This window comes from Homo sapiens, chromosome 5 (assembly GCF_000001405.40).
Source record: "Homo sapiens chromosome 5, GRCh38.p14 Primary Assembly".
Taxonomy (NCBI): Eukaryota; Metazoa; Chordata; class Mammalia; order Primates; family Hominidae; genus Homo; species Homo sapiens.
Genome location: NC_000005.10, coordinates 25,182,915 through 25,206,253, shown reverse-complemented (window position 1 = coordinate 25,206,253; position 23,339 = coordinate 25,182,915). Strand labels below are relative to the sequence as shown.

General features: G+C 35.2%; 2 long non-coding RNA genes across 2 annotated transcripts in view, besides 1 other annotated feature; one reads left to right on the top strand and one right to left on the bottom strand.

The window, feature by feature from the left end:
- LINC02211 (long intergenic non-protein coding RNA 2211) overlaps positions 1–15,301 on the bottom strand; it is a 111,328-nt gene extending 96,027 nt beyond the window's left edge. Inside the window, exon 1 of the long non-coding RNA NR_136209.1 lies at positions 15,221–15,301. This is a non-coding gene — a long non-coding RNA (long intergenic non-protein coding RNA 2211). The remainder of the gene's footprint in view (positions 1–15,220) is intronic.
- Positions 15,095–15,594: an enhancer, noted in NCBI's record as "H3K27ac hESC enhancer chr5:25190769-25191268 (GRCh37/hg19 assembly coordinates)". NCBI's record gives its function as "activates a minimal SCP1, AML or CMV promoter by ChIP-STARR-seq in primed H9 embryonic stem cells {active_cell/tissue: H9 hESC(primed)}" and the evidence as "EXISTENCE:reporter gene assay evidence [ECO:0000049][PMID:30033119]".
- Positions 15,598–23,339, top strand: part of LINC02228 (long intergenic non-protein coding RNA 2228) — a 64,352-nt gene continuing 56,610 nt past the window's right edge. The window contains exon 1 of the long non-coding RNA NR_147006.1: positions 15,598–15,807. This is a non-coding gene — a long non-coding RNA (long intergenic non-protein coding RNA 2228). The remainder of the gene's footprint in view (positions 15,808–23,339) is intronic.

The following is a 23,339-nucleotide window of genomic DNA, read 5'->3' as shown; positions in this document are numbered from 1 at the left end:
TATATATATATTTTTTATTTAGTATTTTTCTGTCAATATTTTCAACCTGATCCAACATTACATCATCCCTTTCACCCTAAATTGGCACCTATAAGATTGTTTCTCATGATTATTCCCAGATTTCTGTTTATTATTTTGTAATTACTGGCATGTATGCTACAACTCATGAATCACAATACCTAACTTCCTTTGTGGGGCTGGCTGAAATGTGAATCTAGTGACATGAGACTGAGGGGTAGATCTTAATGTGAATCAGTATTGCCTTACAAATCAACAGCTCAAGTGAGGCTATTATAGGTCTGTTAGGCAAAGGATATATTATTAAAACATAATGTAGATTTTAGAAAGCAACATTCCTGAAAATACTGTATATCCATATGACATGACTTACATACAGAATAAAAGAAGCAAATAATACATAGATTATTTAGTAAAACTACCACATAATAAATGTATAGGAAAGTGTATGAGACTCAACAAACAAATTCAAGACAGTGACTAACTCTGAAAGAAAGAACATATGTGCAACCAGAGAGAGTAATCCAGGTGGCTTCAACAACACAAATAATGTTTTATTCTTTATTTGTATTCTAAGTGTGTAGGTATTCACTGTAGTAATAGAATGTTTCATGGCTATTTAATTTAGCTTTACGTATTAAAAATAATAATCTCTGTATATACATCATGATTCCATTTGAGAAATAAACATGCAACATATTGAATATGTGTCTCCTTTTATCTATGATTTAATGAGCAATCTGTAATCAGTATCTCACAAAGACACGCACCAAGGTAAACTGACTTTTTCTTTATTTCAAATTGTTCAAATTGTTGCAAAACATTTTATCATTATAAAACAAATCAAATAAGTAAAAAATTTTTAAGGTAAAATTATATGACTACTAGAAATAAAGCATATTATTTAATTTCTGAAAGCATAAATTAGATATATAAGAAAATGTGAAAAACGTATACAGGATTAGTTGGGTAGTATGGTTAGGGAAAAAAAAGTAAACAGAGTGTGTGTGTATGCATACCACAATTCTTTATTTGTTCGTACTTATGGATTTATTTATTTCGTTATCTAATTATTTGTTTATAAATTTACACTTTCCTCAAGAGTAACTATTAATAGAAAAATTACTCTTTGTCTGGAAAAAAAATCTAAGTTTTTCTGCATCATATACTTTTTGAAGTCTACTTCTTTTGAAATAGATTATTGATACTTAAATTTAATCATCTTTCTTGTATAATCTACCTCAACAGGAATCTAAAAGCAAAACTAAAATCATATTCTCATCTTTCACAAGTTCTATCACTCATAGCTGTATTAAATAATAGTAATGATGATCTCAAAGTGGAATTAAAGGGAAATCCTCAAGAGACAAAATGGGTTTTGTGGTATTAGCAAAATACATAATCTGTCTTTGAACTGTAAGTTTAAACTGTTCATGTGCTACTTACTTAAAATGATTTCTAATATATATAAAAGTAATATACATTTATATATGCATATATATATACTCAACATATATAAATATAGACATGTAGATATTTAAAAAAATACTGAATGCTCTCAGAGGATATGAATTACTTCTCATTAAAAGAGTTTTCCTAGTGTTTGAAAAACCAAGTTGACAAATTAACACTGATCTATATTATTTGAAAAATATAATTATCTTGATTTATTGAGTTTCTCTGTATATGTAACTGCACACACACAAACACAGCTGATGGTATATATGTTTTTATATTGGTCTCTGCATAGAAACATATTTACAAATTAATATAAGCCATTAAAATTATAATACCTTAAGAAAATAAGGAAAAATGCATACTTCAGTAAAGAAAAAGCAATTTGAATATTTGTGAACAATGTGATAATATTAAAATTTTTAAAAACCCTAATATATGAAATAGTTAGCTTCCAAATTTTTCTTCCACAGTTAGATTTGCAACTAAAATTTACTATTAATATGTAAAAAGACATTACCATTTATCGATGTTTAAAATGTCTTTAGAGTTGCATTTAGAGTTAAATTTATACTCATATTCCTTCTGTATGAGTTGATAAATAAATTTAACACAATTAAATAATATTGATTAATAAATTATAATTAATCAAGTAAGAAATGTAAAAAAAAGTAGTAAAAAACACAATACAATTGAAAATTAAAAGCTGTGTGTTTATTAATTAAATATAAATGTGAGGAAAAATGCAAGGATATTTCAAAGGCAAAAAGATGTAACAAGGAAGAAAAAAATTATAGGATATTATATATGAATCTGTATTAATTAATCTGATGTTAATTTTAATTTGATATTAGAGAAATAAATATATCTCATGTAAAAATACATTCCTATATTTTTATACTGTTATGTATTATATAATGTAACATATATACTATATATAACATAGTATATATTATATATAGAATATAGTATATATAATATATAGAACATAAAAATGTTATATATAACATATTGTATATGTTATATATTATATGTGTAATATATTAGATATATGACCTGTATGTTATATAAATATTAATATATTGGATGTAATATATGTTATATAATTATATAATATATTATATACTAATATAAAAATATGTATTTGTGCAGCATAAATATAATAAAATTATAATATACACTATATGTTACACATATACTATAATATATACACTATATGTTACACATATACTATAATATATAATATACACTATATGTTACACATATACTATAATATATAATATACACCATGTTACACATATACAATATATAATATACACTGTATGTTACACATATACTATAATATATAATATATAATACTATGCATACTATATATTCTATATTATATATTACATATAATAATTACATATGTAAATATAATACATATAATAATTATATGTAACATATAATATTCATCTGCCTCAGCCATGTGAATAGGATCAACATCAACAGTGAAAACTTATGTTGATAGTAAGTAACCTTGCTATGATGTGATGAGAATGGCATTAACCCTGTTATCTTCCTTTCCCAACATGCATAACTCCAGTCTAATCATAAATAAAATACCAGACAAATCTCAACAGAGGGGCACTCTACAAAGCACCTGCCAGTATGTTTCAAAACTATCAAAGTCAACAAAAATGAGAAAAATCTGAGAAACTATCAAGAGGAGAGGAGCCTAAGGAGACAGAACACCACAAAATAATGTCATACCCTAGATAGAATCTTGGAACAGAAATGGACTATAGGTAAAAACCAAAAAAACCTGAATAAAATGTGGTTAGTCAGTAATAATGTATTAACTTTTGTTCATTAATAAGAATGAATATACCATATTGATATAAGATGTTAATAACAGAGGGAAAAAGGGTAGAGAATTGGGTATATTAGAACTGTCTGCACTCTCTTCACAATTCCTTAAATTAAAAACAATTCTAAAAAATAAAATTTACTTAAAATTTTTATTAAGAAGTAATGCAAAACATTATCATGGAAGTAATATGGTCATTAGATCCTATGATCCAAGTGATTAAAATTTAAATATATCTATATAGCTTTAGGAGAAAATATACCCAATATTGTCATTTAATGTGTTTTGTTTAAAATTAGTAAATATTGTTATTTCTAAGCAAACTATTACCCACAGAATAAAAATCCAGAATGACTAATTTCTATAGAAAATACTATTAGAATCTTGTGTATTTGTTTTCTGGGGGGGATATACATAAACTTTGTAAATATGGCAGAAGAAAGAACCAGTCGGTGCCATTTATATCTTTACATATTCAATCCAAAATAAATTGATTATTTTTAATTCAACAATTCAACATAAGTAGGAGAAGAATAATTGGGATATTTTTTCTAATTAGCCATCTTATACAGATTACATTGTTTACAGTAAAATTAGAAGCATCTTAAACATAAACACATTAGTAATAGCATAAAGATATTTTCAGTTCATAACATCACTATTAACATATTTGAAACAATTGGTAAGTTATTTAATGTGCTAAAGTATTTCTTCACTATCCATCAGCAAATAACATTGTCTTCTGTGGTGAACATCCAAAACATTAAACCTTTCATAAAATATTAATGTTTAAAGAGATGGAATGTAACTATTGATTTTTATAAAGATGAAATCATTACTGTGCTATTTCATATAATGTAGTAATAATGAATATCAGGATATTCAATTCAATTTTCTTATTAGCTATTCACTTCTTATTAAAATAGAACTTTTTATTCAAGATTTTATCATATTTATTCTGGTGTCTTAAATGTCCCTGGGTCCATTAGACAACTCTCTTTTTTAATTTGCTCAGAAGAAACATCATCCTGTGTCCTTGAAGTAAAACTCACACTGCTGTTACATCCTGATAGCTATGGTTTTGGCTTGTACTGGGGCAATGATATGTAAATGATGTGTTATTTCAAAGTGTCTGCAAAGCATTTTGGATGAAGATAAGCTTGAAGTCAAAGGTTAAATATGAGATTGAACTGAATGATCTCAGTGGAAACTGAAGTGCTGACAACAGCAGCATAATCCGATCCTTGGGTTGACCTCAGCAACCTAGGCAGCCTGCAGGCCTATAATATAATGATCTAAGCAAATTAAAAAGAGATAAAAATGTGCTAACGTTTTAGCAATAAGCTCTTAAGCAAAATCATACGAAGTAGTGCGTCTTATAAAATAATCCTGATATATATAGTATCTTTATATGTCGGTTAAATTCACTGATATTCCCTGCATTTGCCTGCGAATTAGGTAACCAATGTTTTATAACTGCCAGATAAAACAATAATTGTGCATGTGTTAGTGTATATTGTTTGTGGGGATCTCCCTATGTATTTTACACAAATATTATATAATATACTCAGATATATAATTTCTTAGAAAATAAGAAAAATTATCTATAAAGAGACTAAAAAGCTATGATAAAATAATGTGTAATTCTCCATATACATACATATTAACAAGGGTAAACGTAATTTCCCAAAACCCGAATAATCACAGCAGAATTTTTAAAACTAGGATTTTAATGATTAAAGATATGCAGTCCTGGCTGCCATGCAAGTTACATTCCTTTGCATGAAGGTAACTGACAAGCAGTTACAAGGCGGACCTACATGCATTGATCTTAGGACATCACTTTATGCAAGTAATTCATATGTAGAAAATAGTCTGGAAGCTGAATTACATCCTAGTTCCTGGTTCCTTTACCTCCAGATAAGGGAACTTGAAGGAGGCACAGTGTAATGTTACATAAATTATTTCCAACATGGCATATGGAGACATATTCCAGAACCCCTTGAAACAAAGGGATTAATATATAAATGGAAAGAGCTACTTTACCACGCTTTCAGTATTTACGTTGGAATTCTTCCCACAATCTACCGCAACCTATGCATATGCAGCGGTATTTTTCTGAGGGTAGAAGAAAACTACACTATCAGCTGAGAAAATAAAATATGTTAAGAATGGAATTGGTAAAAAAGAAAACAGAGCAGAAAATGTGAAAAGAGTGTGAGATCTTTGGGTCCAAAGAAATGGATGAAATAGAGGGAAGACTGGATTCACTGTAACAGTACTGAGATTTCGCTGAGAGTGAGTACGAATACAATTGAATCATCTGCAGTTCCCAACTGTGATATTGAGAGGTGACAGCGTGCTGGCAATCCTCAGAGCCCTCGCTTGCTCTCGGCACCTCCTCTGCCTGGGCTCCCACTTTGGCGGCACTTGAGGTGCCCTTCAGCACACCACTGCACTGTGGGAGCTCCTTTCTGGGCTGGCCAAGGCTGGAGCCCACTCCCTCAGCTTGCAGGGAGGTGTGGAGGGAGAGGCGCGAGCGGGAACCGGGGCTGCGTGCGGCGCTTGCGGGCCAGCTGGAGTTCCGGGTGGGCGTGGGCTTGGCGGGCCCGCACTCAGAGCAGTCGGCCAGCCCTTCTGGCCCCGGTCAATGAGGGACTTCGCACCCGAGCCAGCAGCTGCGGAGGGTGTACTGGGTCCCCCAGCAGTGCCAGCCCACTGGCGCTGCGCTCGATTTCTCGCCGGGCCTTAGCTGCCTTCCCGTGGGACAGGCCTCGGGACTGCAGCCTGCCATGCCTGAGCCTTTCCCCCGCCTCCGTGGGTTCCTGCGCAGCCCGAGCCTCCCCGACGAATGCCACCCCCCTGCTCCACGGCACCCAGTCCCATCGACCGCCCAAGGGCTGAGGAGTGCCAGCGCATGGCGCAGGACTGGCAGGCAGCTCCACCTGCAGCCCCTCTGTGGGATCCACTGGGTGAAGCCAGCTGGGCTCCTGAGTCTGGTGGGGACGTCTTTATATCTAGCTCAGGGATTGTAAACACACCAATCAGCACCCTGTGTCCAGCTCAGGGTTTGTGAGTGCACCAACCGATACTCTGTATCTAGCTGCTCTGGTGGGGCCTCGGAGACCCTTTATGTCTAGCTCAGGGATTGTAAATACACCAATCAGCACTCTGTATCTAGCTCAAGGTTTGTAAACACACCAATCAGCACCCTGTGTTTAGCTCAAGGTTTGTGAGTGCACCAATTGACACTCTGTATCTAGCTGCTCTGGTAGGACCTTGGAGAACCTTTATGTCTAGCTCAGGGATTGTAAACACACCAATCAGCACCCTGTGTCTAGCTCAGGGTTTGTGAGTGCACCAATCAGCACCCTGTGTCTAGCCCAGGGTTTGTGAGTGCACCAATCGACACTCTGTATCTAACTACTCTGGTGGGGCCTTGGAGAACCTTTATGTCTAGCTCAGGGATTGTAAATACACCAATCGGCACTCTGTATCTGGCTCAAGGTTTGTAAACACACCAATCAGCACCCTGTGTTTAGCTCAAGGTTTGTGAATGCACCAATCGACTCTCTGTATCTAGCTGCTCTGGTGGGGCCTTGGAGAACCTTTATGTCTAGCTCAGGGATTGTAAATACACCAATCGGCACTCTGTATCTAGCTCAAGGTTTGTAAACACACCAATCAGCACCCTGTGTCTAGCTCAGGGTTTGTGAGTGCACCAATCGACACTGTATCTAGCTGCTCTGGTGGGGCCTTGGAGAACCTTTATGTCTAGCTCAGGGATTGTAAAGGCACCAATCAGCACCCTGTCAAAACAGGCCACTGGGCTCTACCAATCAGCAGGATGTGGGTGGGGCCAAATAAAAAAATAAAAGCAGGCTGCCCGAGACAGCATTGGCAACCCGCTCCGGTCCCCTTCCACACTGTGGAGGGTTTGTCCTTTTGCTCTTTGCAATAAATCTTGCTACTGCTCACTCTTTGGGTCCACGCTGCTTTTATGAGCTGTAACACTCACTGGAAGATCTGCAGCTTCACTTCTGAGCCCAGCAAGACCAGGAGCCCACCAGGAGGAACGAACAACTCCAGACGCTCTGCCTTAAGAGCTGTTAACCCTCACTGCCAAGGTCTGCAGCTTCACTCCTGAGTCAGCGAGACCACGAAACTACCAGAAGGAAGAAACTCCGAACACATCTAAACATCAGAAGGAACAAACTCCAGACGCGCCACCTTAAGAGCTATAACACTCACCGCGAGGGTCCGCGGCTTCATTCTTAAGGTCAGTGAGACCAAGAACCCACCAATTCCGGACACAATATGATTTGGGAGAGGAATTAATTATTTGTATCTGTAGTTTAGATGGATTAATAACATTTCTCATCTGTAACGTTTCCAAAAATCAGTTAAAATTAATTGTGTCCTGGTCATTAGCTGTTTTTTGATGATTCTTTACAGTTTATACAATTCAAGTTAAATATATGAATTCTCTGTGCCCTTTTTGGAGCTTTTGTTTTTGGTATTTCTCTCACATTGAAATTTCTCCCTAACTGGAATATAACAATTTTTTTCTGGTATTCTCCGAGGCTATTGTTTCTACTCTTTATCAATCAAGTTCTTAATGCAAAACCCTACAAATGGTCAATAGGTATATGAAAAAATGCTCAATATCTCTAACCAGCAGGGAAATGCAAATTAAATCTACAATGAGAGAACCTCTCAAATCTGTTAGGATCACTATTATTAAAAATAGAAAGTGACAGATGTTGAAGAAAATATGGTGAAAGGGGAAACCTTGCACACTGTTGGGGGGAAGATAAATTGGTACACCCATTATGAAAAACAATAAGGGTGCTCCTCAAAATTTCAAAATTGAACTATCATATGATCCAGCAATCTCATTTCTGGGTGTATATCCATAAAAAATTAAATCAGCATTTCCAAGAAGTATCTGCACTCCTATGTTCATTTGTAGCATTATTTACAATAGCCAAGTTATGTAATCAACCAAAAGACCAACAACAAATGAATGAATAAAGAAAATGTGGGCCAGGCGCCATGGCTCATGCCTGTAATTCCAGCACTTTGGGAGGCCAAGGTAGGTGGATCACCTGAGGTCAGGAGTTTGAGACCAGCCTGGCCAACATGGCAAAACCCCGTCTCTACTAAAAATAAAAAAATTAGCCTGGTGTGGTGGCACGCGCCTGTAGTCCCAGCTACTCGGGAGGCTGAGGCAGGAGAATCACTTGAACCCGGGAGGCAAAGGTTGCAGTGAACCAAAACTGCACCACTGCACTCCAGCCTGGGTGACAGAGTGAGACTCCCTCTGAAATACATACATACATACATACATACATACATACATACATACAAAGAAAGAAAATGTAATATACATGCACAATGAAATGCTCTTCAGTCTTAAAAAAGCAAAAGAAGGAAATCCTGTCATTTGCAATAACATACATGGATCTGGGGACATTACACTAAATGAAATAAGGCAGGAACAGAAATAGAAATACTGTATGATCTCACTGATATGTGGAATCTGAAAAGTCAAACTCATAGAAGCGGAGTAGAATGGTGGTTACCTGGGGCTATAGGTGGGAAACTGGGGAGATGTTGGTCAAAGAATACAATATTTCAGTTACACAAAAGAATAAGTTCAAGAAATCTATTGTACAACATGGTGAATATAGTAAATAACAGTGTATTGTAATCTTGAAAATCATTAAGAGAGATCTTAAGTGTTGACACCACAAAAACTGTTAAGTATGTAATGTAGTGTATATGTTAATTAGTTGAATTTAATCATTTATAAGGCATACATGTTTCAAAACATCATGCTTCACATAATAAATATATATAATTTTTTCGATTAAAAATGATCACTTAAAAATCAATCAAACAAACAAATGAGACCCCAGTAAAGGCCCTAGGATGTTTTCTCCAGATAATTTGTAACCGTCTATGCTCCAGTCTCTCTCTCTCTCTCTCTCACATTCCACACATCTCACATTACTAAGGTTTGTATATTTATTTCCACTGGAGCATATCTATGTTCATCATGCTGATTTGCACAATAGAAAAAAGCTATAATAACTTATTTGATAGATATATCTGCCATATTATATCATATTCATGTATAATTATATAAAATGCATGTGAAGGGAATATTATTCCCAAAGTGTTAACTAACACTTGTTTTGGTTTCTGAATATTATTTTAATTTTATTTGGAAAATTAATTTACTCTTTTGTTTTCCAAAATTAAAACCTTTCTTAGGACATGATATGAAAAACTAACATTGCTGCTGATATAGTCTTTTTCACAAATTGTTAACCGTTTAGCATTTCTATCTGTAACTAGGAGAAGATAATTAAAAGTTGGACAAGCTTCTGCTGACAGCAACTTTCTAACTTCCTTCTCTTAGATGTGACATATCAATATGCAATAATATACTTATAAATGATAAAAATAATTTTAGAGAAACCATCCCAAATTGGAAGGGAGACAACTGTTCGTCAAAATGGAAATACATATTCTTTAGCATTTCACATACGTAAAGAAAATACAGTTCCAGTTTTCATTAATTTAAATTATTCTTTGATAGTTTATGAAAATAAAGGTTAGTGTCTGGACAAGCCTAGAGACATAACACTGAATGTTTCTAAAAAAAACCTGTACTCTAGTTGAGAAATAAAAGAGGGACAAACATAATGATTCTGTATGGCGTAACATAATGTCCTATTAGAGGCACTAACTGCCATATTTAAGGGGAAATGTGAGATCATTTCAAAGCTGTAGGATGTGAAATTTGTGATGGATTTGGAATGGTGGATAATGTATTAATAGAAAACAAAATACGAAGTGGACACGGGCAGAGGAAATAATAAAAATAACAAATAAATAGCAAAAGTGTATCAGATTAGAAAGCAGGAGCATGTTTAGGAATGAATTTTATGTTTGCATTCTAGGAAGAAGAGTGGTTTGACTTTGGATCGTGGGAGGGTGTACCAATTTATAATTCATTTTGAATGCAAGTAAAATGTCTTTCATTATTATGGAGATAAATATACAGTCATGCATCATTTTATTACTGGTTAGGCAATTTTGTCATTGTGTGAACTCCTTAGAGCGTGCTTACACAAACTTAGATGGTACAACCTACTACACACTTAGGCAAGATAGTAAAACCTATTGCTCCTAGGCTATAATCCTGTACAGCATATTACTGTACTGAACACTGTAGGTAATTGTAACACAATAATATCTGTGTATCTAAACATATAAAAATACAGTAAAAGATGCTATAAAGGATTAAAAATAGTACACCTATATATACACCTATATAATAAAAGTCTACTTTAATCTTAGGGGACCACAATTTATATTCAGTCTGATATCCACTGAAACATTGTTTTGCAGCATGTGACTGTAATACAAACAGAGGTGTAATTTTTGAAAATATAATGAACCAATGTTCACAAACTGAGTGCTACTAGATGTGGGAAAAATAATAAAAACTACAATAATGCAGGGAAGAGACAATCACTTTAAGAAATATGATGAGTAGGGTATAGATAGAAGCTTATATTAAGGGAAAAAAGAAGATTCAATTATAGTTCAGATAATGCCATCATGAGGGAATGACATAGAAACATTTGAAACTCCTTGACTGGGAAAATAGTAACATTACCTACTAAGTAGAATTGTACCTCTTTTTCTAGAATAGTGAATAAAGTACTAAAACTAAGAATAATAAATTTTAAGTAGCTTCACCTTCTAAAGATAGAAGAGGAGGAAGTATAAGACTCATCCCTGCAGGACTTACTAAGAGCAATAACAATCACTATCACAAAATACAGGTTGAGCATCCCAAATCCAAACATTCATAGTGCTCCAAATCTAAATTTTTTTTTTTTTTTTTTGAGACGGAGTCTTGGTCTGTTGCCCAGGCTGGAGTGCAGTGGCATGATCTCAGCTCACTGTAAGTTCTGCCTCCCAACTTCACGCCACTCTCCTGCCTCAGCCTCCCAAGTAGCTGGGACTACAGGGGCCTGCCACCATGCCTGGCTAATTTTTTTGTATTTTTAGTAGAGACGGGGTTTCACCGTGTTAGCTAGGATGGTCTCGATCTCCTGACATCGTGATCCACCTGCCTCGGCCTCCCAAAGTGCTGGGATTACAGGCGTGAGCCACCGCGCCTGGCCAAATCTAAACCTTTTTGAACACAAATGTCACAATCAAAGAAATGCGCACTGGAGAATTTTGGATTTTGGAAATTTGGAATAAGGATAATCAGTAAGTATAATGAAAGTATTTCAAAACAAAAACATCTGAAATTCAAAACACTGCTGACCGTAAGAATTTCATATACAGGATATTCAACTTGTAGCATATTTCTCATTTCTCTCATTTTCATATATATAAATATAGCATATATAATATATACATCTATATCTATATACTTATATCAATGTCTATTTATGTTTATATACTGCAAATATATAGAGATATATATGACACATCATATCTATATAGATATATGTATCATATGTAACATATCTATCTACATTTATATTAACATCTAAAATAGATATATAGATATAGGTTTATATATAGATAAATATAGAAAGAGATTAATATAAATAAATGTACACAATGTGTATTAAAGAGAAAGAAAAATGTCAGAAATAAAATGGAGAGAATTGTTAGTATGCCAAGAAAAGAATGTGTTCCTTCCCCTGTCTTTTCTACCATGTGGTGGCTTTGACCATCCATAAAAACCAAGTGAACTGTTTTCATGGTAATCACACCTAGGATGAATGCTGAATGTCAGCATAACCAGTTTATTTCTTTTTGATAAGATTTTTTTAAAAAGGGAATGGGGTTGGCAAGCATTACAGCATTGCAACAGAGAGTTGAAGTAGGGGAGAAACATGTACTGTCAGTATTTGGGGCAAAGCTGTGAGTCCTCCATGAGCCTTGAGTATACTTGAGTTTGTGCCACGTTGCTACAAAAGTTGATTGCTAGAGAGAGGTATTCAGCAACACGAAGCAATAGGACTGGACAACCTACCAGGGCAGCTGAGAGGCAGTTTGGAAAAGCTGTCCCAGAAGGCATCTCTCCAGTCAGGGAACTAGAAAGTATGGAAGCTTCTTTAGGATTCCTGTAGAACCCACTCATAGGAAAGATGTAAGTGACCCAATGGAAAAAGGAGGCATCTACACATTTAGCCTGTAGTTCATCCTGGAGGCCAAAACTCAAGTGGAGAAGGGGAAACCAAAAGATAATGGCAAATTGTTAGAAAAAGATTCACAACACACACACACACACACACACCTGTTTTTGTTGAGGTTCTCCAGAGGGACAGAACCAATAGAAAATATGTATATACAAAAGATGGTTTATTAGGGAGAATTGTCTCACATGATTACAAGGCAAAGTCTCACAGTAGGCCATCTGCAAGCTGAGGAAACAGAAAAGCCAGTAGTAGTGTCTCAGACCAAGTCTGAAAGCCTAAAAACTAGGGAAACTGACATTTCAGCCTTCAGTCTGCGGTGGAAGACCAGGGAGCCCTGGGGAAACCACTGGTGCTTCCCAGAGTCCAAAGGCCGAAGAACCTGGAGTCTGATGTCCAAGGTCAAGAGAAGCAGAAGCAAACATCAGGCACAGAAAGAAGAAAGAGACAGCCAGAAGACTTAGTGAAGCAAAGTGATCCCACCTCTCTCCACCTGCTTGTTCTAGCAGGGCTGGCAGATGATTGGATGCTGTCCACCCACATTGAAGTTGGGTCTTCCTCTCCCAGTCCACCAATTCAAATGTCAGTCTCCTTTGGCAACATCCTCATAAACACACCCAGAAACAATGCATTACCAGCCTTCTGGATCTCTACAATCCAATCAAGTCAACACCTAATATTATTCTTCACAAAACCCATGTGTCAAGCACATACACACACATCAGCACAAACAAACAAGGGACACTATCTAAAGTTCAACTGAGAGGGGAAAACTGAGCGTAAGTAAATGCTTCTTTTTGGCAACAAATGGAATTAGAATGTACAGGTTATCATTATGTCTCAACATTTTAAAATCTGTTCAAATTGTTAAGAGCTGGTTTATGGAGGTTGTGATGAAGGGAGATGAAACAAGACCACTTCTTCATCTTTTCTAAATGCAGACAAAACCAGCTCGCTGTGCAAACCGCAATAGTCAAGCTAGTAAGTCCACTAATGAGACTGCTGCTCATTTACCCATTACAGCTTTAGTTTATCTTTATTTCACAATGGTAATGTTGTTAGAAACCCCATCATTGCTCTTTGTAAACTTACTAGTTAACTGGTTGTGTCTCCATAGACAGTGAGAAAAAGTCTGGGTTGTATGTTATATTTCTACATCTGTCTTTGGGGTACAATTCAGTGAGAGAGCCACTGTTTTCACAATCTGGCTCCAACCACTCATGTCACCCCATCTCCATGTCTCCCCAGCCTCCTAGTTAAACTAGTGAACTCTAAATACCTCACTCATAATAATTACCCTTCACAAAGTTGGTCAGTCAAATAATGTTTGGGATAAAAAAAGTGGGTATTGTGGTAGGAGAAAAACAAGAAGCCCAAAGATTGCATGTGACAGATTGAAAAAAAATCAGTCTCTCACTTGAAAATAGTCATTTTTTTTCTGAGAATTGTTTATTGTTCAATTGCTTGGAATGTATGAAGAAATACTCCAATAATCTACTCAATGATAGAGTAAATATTAAAGTAAATATCTATATACAATTGCAAAAAAAAGCAAAACCAAATTGTGATTAGACTAGTCACATTATACCTGCACACCACAATCAAATAAAATAGGTTAGTTTTAAATCAGATACACACAGTACAAGCAACTCAGTTTTCCTAATGTTATGAACATTGGATTTCAGCAACATAGTTTGTTCTAATATTACAAAGCTGAATACTTTGATTAGTAATTTGTAAAACAAAATATGTTAATTTTTTACCTCTTGAACATATAGTTACAGAAACATGACTCATTTCTAATTTCAATTCAATATTATAATGTATCCTCTGCCAAAGATTTCCCATTTGTTTCTCAGTGGTGTAAGGTGTTCATTTTAATTTAGAAGTTGTTGAGGGCCTAATTATTTTTCTCCTTCTCTTTCTTTTATAAAGCAAAAAATATCCTCTAAATATCCTAGGCAACATAGCAAGACCTCGTCTCTACAAAAAAAAAAAAAAAAATTAGCGAGGCATGGGCACATACTGCTAGCCCCAGCTACTCAGGAGGCTGAGGTGTAAGAATTGCTTGAGCCAGGGAGGTCAAGGCTGCAGTGAACTGTGATCAGCACTGCACTCCAGCTTAGGTGATAGAGTGATACGCTGTCTCTCAAAAAAAAAAAAAAAGAAAGAAACTTTTCAAAATATGAGTTTAAAATGTCGGTATTTTAACATGTATGAAGTATAAATAGTGGCAATATGTTGGGACATTTCAAATAAACTCAGTAATATCACTTTCATATTTTAATACATGCATTCTAAATATAATCTTGTCATATAATTGTTTGCACTTATATAAATAGCATAATAAATCACGTTAGGAAACTGGAATCAAATGAAAACAAAACAAAACCTTCCAATTTTATTAGTTAGCAATAATTAATCAAAAAAAGAATAGACTCTTTAAAAGTATACCCTTATCCGTATCAAATAAAAACTACCACCTCCAAATGATTGAAGATTTTTACGGACATTAATTATAATGTATTGAAATAGTTCAGTAGTTTAAGTTGACCAGATTTATTGCACAGTTTCCACAATGGTTTAAAATTTTGCAAAGGATTAAATGCCAAAATATAAAGCCACAAAATTAGTAACATTAGTTTTATGTCACACTTACTCCAGAAGAAAATGGTCTGGTCTTAGTTCCGGTCCGGCAGAGATCGCGGAGAGACGCAGAACGCAGCCCGCGCCTTCAGGGCCCTCTGGCCCCGGGCCGGCGGATGAACTGGGGGGCCTCGGGACAGGCCGAGCCCTCTGCCCTGCAGACACCGGAGGCCTCTGCTGTGGCTGCCCACTGGCTGTGCTCAGACCTTGAAGCCGCAGCGAACCTCTCTTTCCCACCCCACCTCGGTGACTGATGGCGGCCGTGGCGTCTCCCAGCCCGGCCCCCGCCGGCACCCGGGTCTCCCGACCCAAGCCTGCTGGGCCTCGACGAAACCCCCGCAGAGCCGCCAGGACGCAGCGCCTTTGGGCGGCGCCGGGCGTGGTGGGCCGGGAAGTATGGCGGCCGCTCGAACGCCGCGCGGCGGAGGCCATTAAGGCGTGGACGGCCCGGAAGGCGGCCTAGGGACGCAAGCAGGCTTGGCCGCCTCTTTCGGCCACGGAGCCGCGCAGATCCGGTTCCCGGGTGACCACTCTGTCGCCATTGGGCGAGACCTACCTAGTCCTGACGACAACGGACAAAGGCCTTAAGGGGCCTGAAAGGTGAGCGAAGTCCCGAACAACGACGGGTGGAACGGTTAGCGGCCATCGGGCGGTTGGTCTTCATTCTACCAGACTTTGCTGTCGGAAGAGAGAAATGGTAGAATGACAGGCCACGTTTGGCCAGTTGGAAATGCCCACCACCCTCTGGGAAGATTTACTGGCCGTTTATGGAAGGCCTGTGTATATAATATGAAAAAGCTGCTCTCAACTCCACCCCAACCTTTTAATAGAAAACATTTGTCACATCTAGCCCTTCTAGATGGAAAGAGGTTGTCGAGTTATGATAAAAGAGTTAGAAAGTTACACATCTTGTAAATTCTCATTTGTTTAAAAGAAATCGTAGAAAATACATGTCTTCTGGAGATGACTTTTGGAAATGGAATTGTTAAGACGGCCTCTGGAAGCGATACGTTCACGTTTGTTAAGTGGGTTAGATGACATGGAGCTGGAAGACCTGAGAAGGAAGAGAAGAAGGTTCTATGCTAGACTGGTCATATTTAGAAGACATTTTCATATTCTATCCATTGTTTTGTGTGCATTTTATTCCTCACTACTGTGTATATAGTTGACAATGCTAAGCTTTTTTGAAATGTCTCTTCTTTTTAGATGTTCTGAAGTGCCTGATATGTTAAAATTAGAGGTAGCAAAATCACATTTTGTAAATACCTTTTTGTTACAATTCATAGGAAATATTTTTTGGGGGGAATGGTCAAATCACCTGTTGAGTAATACTCATTGTGTTTGTGCAGTGGTTCAGGGGAGGAGAGAGGAGGGGGAGGTGCAGAGAGCTCTATGCCATCCTGTTTACAGCGAGGCAAGATGTATGTCTGTGCATTTTGTTTTACTTATCTGTGTATATAATGTACATAAAGGACAGACGAGTCCTAATTGACAACATCTAGTCTTTCTGGATGTTAAAGAGGTTGCCAGTGTATGACAAAAGTAGAGTTAGTAAACTAATATATTTTGTACATTTTGTTTTACAAGTCCTAGGAAAGATTGTCTTCTGAAAATTTGATGTCTTCTGGGTTGATGGCGATGGGAAGGGTTCTAGGCCAGAATGTTCACATTTGGAAGACTCTTTCAAATTATAACTGTTGTTACATGTTTGCAGTTTATTCAAGACTGCTGTATACATAGTAGACAAATTAACTCCTTACTTGAAACATCTAGTCTATCTAGATGTTTAGAAGTGCCCGATGTATGTTAAATGTATAGGTAGTAAAATACCACTTTGTAAATATCTTTTTGCTAAAATTCATAGGAAATGCTTTTGGAAATTGAATTGTGAAGCCACCTTTGTGAGCAGTATAGTAATGTGTATACTTGTTCAATGGTTTAGAGGAGGTAGGAGGGAAGAAATTGCAAGAGGTAATATACTAGTGTGTTCATACTTGGACATTTTCAGACACCATTTTTCTATACGTTTTGTGCATTTTGTTTTGCTCTGTATATAGTATATATAATGGACAAATAGTCCTAATTTTTCAACATCTAGTCTCTAGTTGTTAAAGAGGTTGCCAGTGTATGACAAAGTAGTAAAATTAGCATATTTTGTACGCTTTGTGTTAAAATTCATAGGAAAACTTGTCTTCTGTAAAGACTTTTGCATAGGAATTTGTTCGACCATCTCTAAGCATTACATGTGCCTGTACTTGTCCACTGGATTGAAGGCAGAGAAGGAAGGGAGGAGGGAATGATTCAAGGCCAAAATGGCCACATTTAGAAGATACCTCAGATGATAACCATTGTTATGTGTGTGCAATTTTATTTAACAGTGATGTGTATGTGGTGGACAAGTTATATGAAATATCTAGTCTTTCTAGATATTTGGAAGTGCTTGATGTATTTAAAAGTGGTAGTAGAATAACACTTTGTAAGTAGCTTTTAAAAACTGATGGGAAATGCTGTTTGGAAGTGGAATTGTTGAACCACCTGGGAGGTGGGAGGGAAGAAATTGCAAATGGTGTTTTGCCATTGCAATTATTAGAAAATTTCAGCTTAAAAAAAAATGGTCTGGTCTCAAGGATAGTTGTTTGCAACTTAGCTCTTTTATAATAATGTAAAAAAAGATTTGTCTGTCTTTATTTTCAAAAGCTGACTTTATATAGATTCTAGCTTCTGACCTAAATCATTTCCTTGATATAATAAACTTTTACATGAAATAATACTTTCATTCAGTCGATTAAAATAATTTTCCTGCCAGCTAGTAGAGTGCAACATGTGTAAAAATCTTACAGTTAAATGGGATCAAATCAGACAGTATAGATTTCCTAGACCATAAAATCTATAAAAATCAGAAGCAATGGATTTAACTCCCAAATTGTTCATTTAAAGATCTAATTATTTGTGTTTGACATTAAAATAAATCTTAAACATAAGAAAGCACTTTTTTTTAGGAACAGTGTTATACTTGTTATAGTACTAAATGTAGTAATCTTCTACTGGTAGTTGGATTACTCTTTTACTCACTACATATCGATATTTAAATCACGTGCTTAATTGGTCCTATTTAGCCTTGTTTCATCTTATTAGTTACAAGGTGATATTTATCAAATGACCTAAACCATTATTCAAATTTATTTAAAAAAAACAATTGAGATGTTATAGTTTTACTACTGTAAAGTATATTAAAAGAGACATTTTCTATGTGATCTATTTGGAAATTATTTTGTTGGAAAAATCATCATGTAAGTTCCAGATAAAGAGACATTTTACTCTTCAAATTGTAAGAGTAATAACAGACAGCAACATTCTAAATTACTCTTCTATACACATTTCCTATTTGACAATTCTACAGCCATTAAATTAACTAATCATCTTCCTAGGGTGGGAATTTCATGCTTCAAATATGGGTTGATTAAAGATTAGTGTTCCTGGTGGTTGGTCACCTGATTCATCATTAGATTTGAAGAGCTGTGGCTCCTACGATAAATAAACACTGCAAAGCATTCTGAATATTTTAAATGCATGGTTTGTTTTCCTGAGCTCCCTGTGTTTGAGATTGCTCTGGATGCTTATGTGTTTTTTTCCCCTTTGCATCATCCTCATATACTTTACCTAGCACAGTTGGAAAAAATATAATCAAAACTATTTTGACTAAATTTTAATTTAAAATTAGACTTTAGAGGCATTTTTTACTTTTACTTTTGAAAGTAAATATATCTTAAAATTGTGTTTACAAGTTGGATAATCAAATATATTGCACTTTCAGGTATAAAGAAATTACTTTTCTTGAAATTAACTTGAGAAATCTTCTACATCCCCTCTTTTCTTATTAACTATTACAAAACAAAAACAAAACTTACGTAATCTTTGAAAGTCATACACTAAGGCCTTTAGGAAAGAATGTACCAAGCATAACTATTTTTTCTATTGCCATCTTTTATATAGTTATATAATTTTATAATTTTCTTAAGAAATCAGATGACAATTGAATACATTTGGGGTGTATGACTTGCCATTTTAATATATGTATAAGTTGTGAAGTGATTAGCATAATCTAATAAACACATCCATCGCCTCACATAATTACCTTTTTGTATGTGCCATGAGAACACTTCAGATCTGCTCTTAGCAAATTACAAACATGCAATATGTTATTATTAACTGTAATCGCCAGGCTGACAGTAGGTCTCCAGTAGTTATTTAGGTTGTAGCTGAAGATTTGTACCCTTTGTCCAATGTCTCCGCTTTCCCCCAAGCCCTCCATTTCCATGGTAAATGCCATTCTATTCTTCATTATTATGAGTCCAATTTCTTTTTTAAGATTCCACACATAAGTGAGATTATGCGCTATTTATCTTTCTGTGTCTGGCTCACTTCACTTGGCATAATCCCCTCGAATTTCAGCCGTGTTCTTGCAAATGGTGGGGTTTTCTTCTTTTTTATGGCTCAATAATGTTTCATGGTGGAAGTATACCAATGTTTTCTTTGTCAACTCATCTGTTGATAGATATTTACATTGTTTCTACAGCTTGGCTAATTGAATAATGCTCCCAGGGGAATTCACGTGTCTCTGCAAGATTGTGGTTTTATTTCCTTTGCATACACAGCTAGAAGTAAGATTACGGCATCAAACAGAAAATCTATTTTTAACCTTTTGAGGAATATCCATACTGTTTTCCATAATGGCGGTACCAATCTACAGTCTGCCTGTAAAAGACTTCCCTTTTCTTTCCATTCTCAGCAACATTTATCTTTTAGGTTTTGATTAGCCATTCTAGCAGGTGCAAGGTAGTATTTCATTTTGGTGTTAGTTCGCATTTCCCTGGTGATTAGTGAAGTTGAACATCATTTCATATACCTGATGGACATTTGTATGTCTTTGGGACAACGTCTATTAAGACTTTTTGCCCCTGTTTAATTTTAGATATTAAATTACTTGCTGGACATATGATTTACAAATATTTTTCCCATTCCCATTTCATAGGTTGTCTATTCATTTTGTCGATTGTTGTCTCTTATATGCAAAATGTTTTTTAGTTTGATGTAGTCCACTTGTTTAATTTTTGCTTTTATTGGCTGTGTTTTTGAGGTCAAATCTAAAATATTATTGCTGAGGCCAATGTAAAGGAGATTATCCCCTACATTTTCATCTAGCAGTATTATGTTTTCAGGTTTTATATTTAAGTCTTTAATCCATTTTAAATTAATTTTCAAGTATAGTGTAAGAGAAGCATTCAATTTCATTTTTTTTGAATGTGGATATCCAGTTTTGCCAACCTACTTATTGGACAGTCTATCATTTCCCCATTGTGTATTCCTGATTCATTTGTAAAAATTAATTATTAACCATATGTGTGTGGGTTTATTTCTGGGGTCTCCATTTTGTTCCATTTTTCTATGTGAACTTTATAGCGATACACACTAACATTAAAAAAGAGAAACATCTCAAGTATATAACCTAACATTACATCTCAAGAAACTAGAGAAAGAAGAATAAACAAAGCCCAATGTTAGTAGAAGAAAAAAAATAACAAAGATCAGAGCAGGAATAAAAAATGTAGAGTCTAGAAAAACCTAAGAAATGGAGACTAGATGGTAAATGGAATAGAGACTAGAAAAACAATAGAAAAAAATCAAATCAATAAAGAAATCGTTATTTAAAAATATAAAAAAGATTTGACAAAAGTTTAGCTAGGCTAATAAAAAAAGAGAAGTCTCAAATGAATAAAATCAGAAAATAAAGAGGAAACACTATGCCTGAATCCACATGTATTAGTCCATTTTTATGCTGCTGATAAGACTGGGAAGAAAAAGAGGTTTAATGGACTTACAGTTCCACATGGCTGTGAGGCCTCACAATCATGGTGGAAGGCAAGGAGGAGCAAGTCAGATCTAACATGGATGGCTGCAGGCAAAAAGAGAGAGATAACTTGTTCAGGGAAACTTCTCTTTATAAAACCATCAGATCTTGTGAGAGACTTACTATCTTGAGAACAGCATGGGGAAGACTTGCCTGCATGATTCAATTACCTCCCACTGGGTCCCTCACACAATACGCAGGAATTAAAGATGAGATTTGGGTGGGGACACAGCCAAACCATATCACCACAGAAATGCAGAAAATAAGAGACTACTATAAACAATTACATGTCATCAAATTGGATAACTTAAAAGAATTGAATAAGTTCCTAGAAGCATACAACCTGAATAATGAAGAAAATCTGAACAGACCAACAACAAGTAGGGAGAGTGAATCAGTAACAAAAATCCTACATCTAAGCAAAGCCTAGGACCTAATAGTTTCATGGTTAAATTCTATCAAACCTTTAAAGAAGAAAGAATGCAAATCCTTCTCAAACTCTTTAAAAGAATTTAAGAAGAGGAAATTTTTCCATACTCATTTATAAGTTCTGCATTCCCCTGATACCAAAGCCTAAGACATTAGAAGAAAATAAAATTGGAGACCAATTCCCCTGATAAACATAGGTGTAAAAATTCTCAACAAAATACTAGCAATCTGAATTTACCAGCACATTAAAAGGGTCATATCATGATTAAGTGGCATTTAATGCTGGAATGCAAAAATGGTTCAACCTATGCAAATCTATAAATGTAATCTACCTCATTGACAGAACCATATGGTCATCTAAACAGATGCAGAAAAGGCATTTGACAAAACTCAAAACACTTTTAGGATAAAGAAACCCTCAACCATAAATCATATAATGAATGTACCTCATCAAAATAAAAGCTACATATGACAAAACCTCAGGACTGTTCACAATACCCAAGATGTAGAAACAACTTAAATACCTTACCTTATATAAAATGGTAAGAAATGTGGTATATACACACATATGACAGAATATTATTCACCTTTCAGAAGAAGGAGATTTTGTAATATGGAACAACATGGATGAACCTTGAGGATGTTATGAAAAAATGTGAAATAAGCCAATCACAGAAGGACAAATACTATACAATTCCACTTATATAAATAAGTATCCAAAGTAGTCAAATTCATAGAATCAGAGAGTGGGATGTTGGTTGCCAGGGACTGGGTGGATGAAGAAATGGGGAGCTACTAATCAAAGGCATAAACTTTCAGTTAAATAAGATGAATGAATTCTAGAGAGCTGCCCTACAACACTGTACCTGTAGTCAACAGTACAGTATTGTAGACTTTAAAAATTGTTAAGTGGGTAGACCTCATGGTAAGTGTTCTTGACACAACAAAATAAAATTTAAAGAAAAGAAATGGTACCATGTTACCATTATTTGAAAATGGAGTCAGATATAAGAAAAAAAAAAAACCTCATCATTTTTTTATTTTTTTTGAAAAATATATTGGTATCATTAGATACCAAGAATGATATCTAATATCATTTTTGATATTAGACTTTGATATCATAAAAAATCATTAAAAAATCATAAAAAATGATTTTTATCATTTAAAAAAAAAATCTATTGGTATCATTCACCTGTGTTTCTAAAGACAAATACACATTATTTTATTGGAATCCTCTAAGGTATTTTATTTTCATTTTAATTTCCTGTATAGACTTTCATTAATATGCTCATTTTTTCCAACACTTCAATATATATGTCTTTAATCATTTTCAAAGTACTATTTACTTACTTCTAAATTGCCAGCTGATCTAAGATGGCATTAGATGCTACAATATTACTATACTTCTTGAACTTAACTTTTTCCAAAATTAGATAACTTGAAAATGTCAGCATCCCAGCAAGAAACAGGTGGCATATTGAAAAAGGGGATAGTTGAAGACAGTATAATGAAAGCATTCTATACTAGACATGAGAAGTTTTAAAAAAATAGAATTAAGACTAATAGAAAGGAAAATTTTATTACCCTTAAGACTGAAGGGTAAATGTAGAATGAAGTTGTCCACATTATGCTAGGGCAGAAGCTACAGCAAACAGTAAAAAATAGTCACTATGGCATAAGATTTACCAAGCAGGCACTAGCAAACCATGGCCTACCAAGGAGAGGAACCAGGGTAGCATGTACCCTACTTTTCTCTACTCCTATCTCGCCTTGGCTTAGAAAAGCCACAACGAGA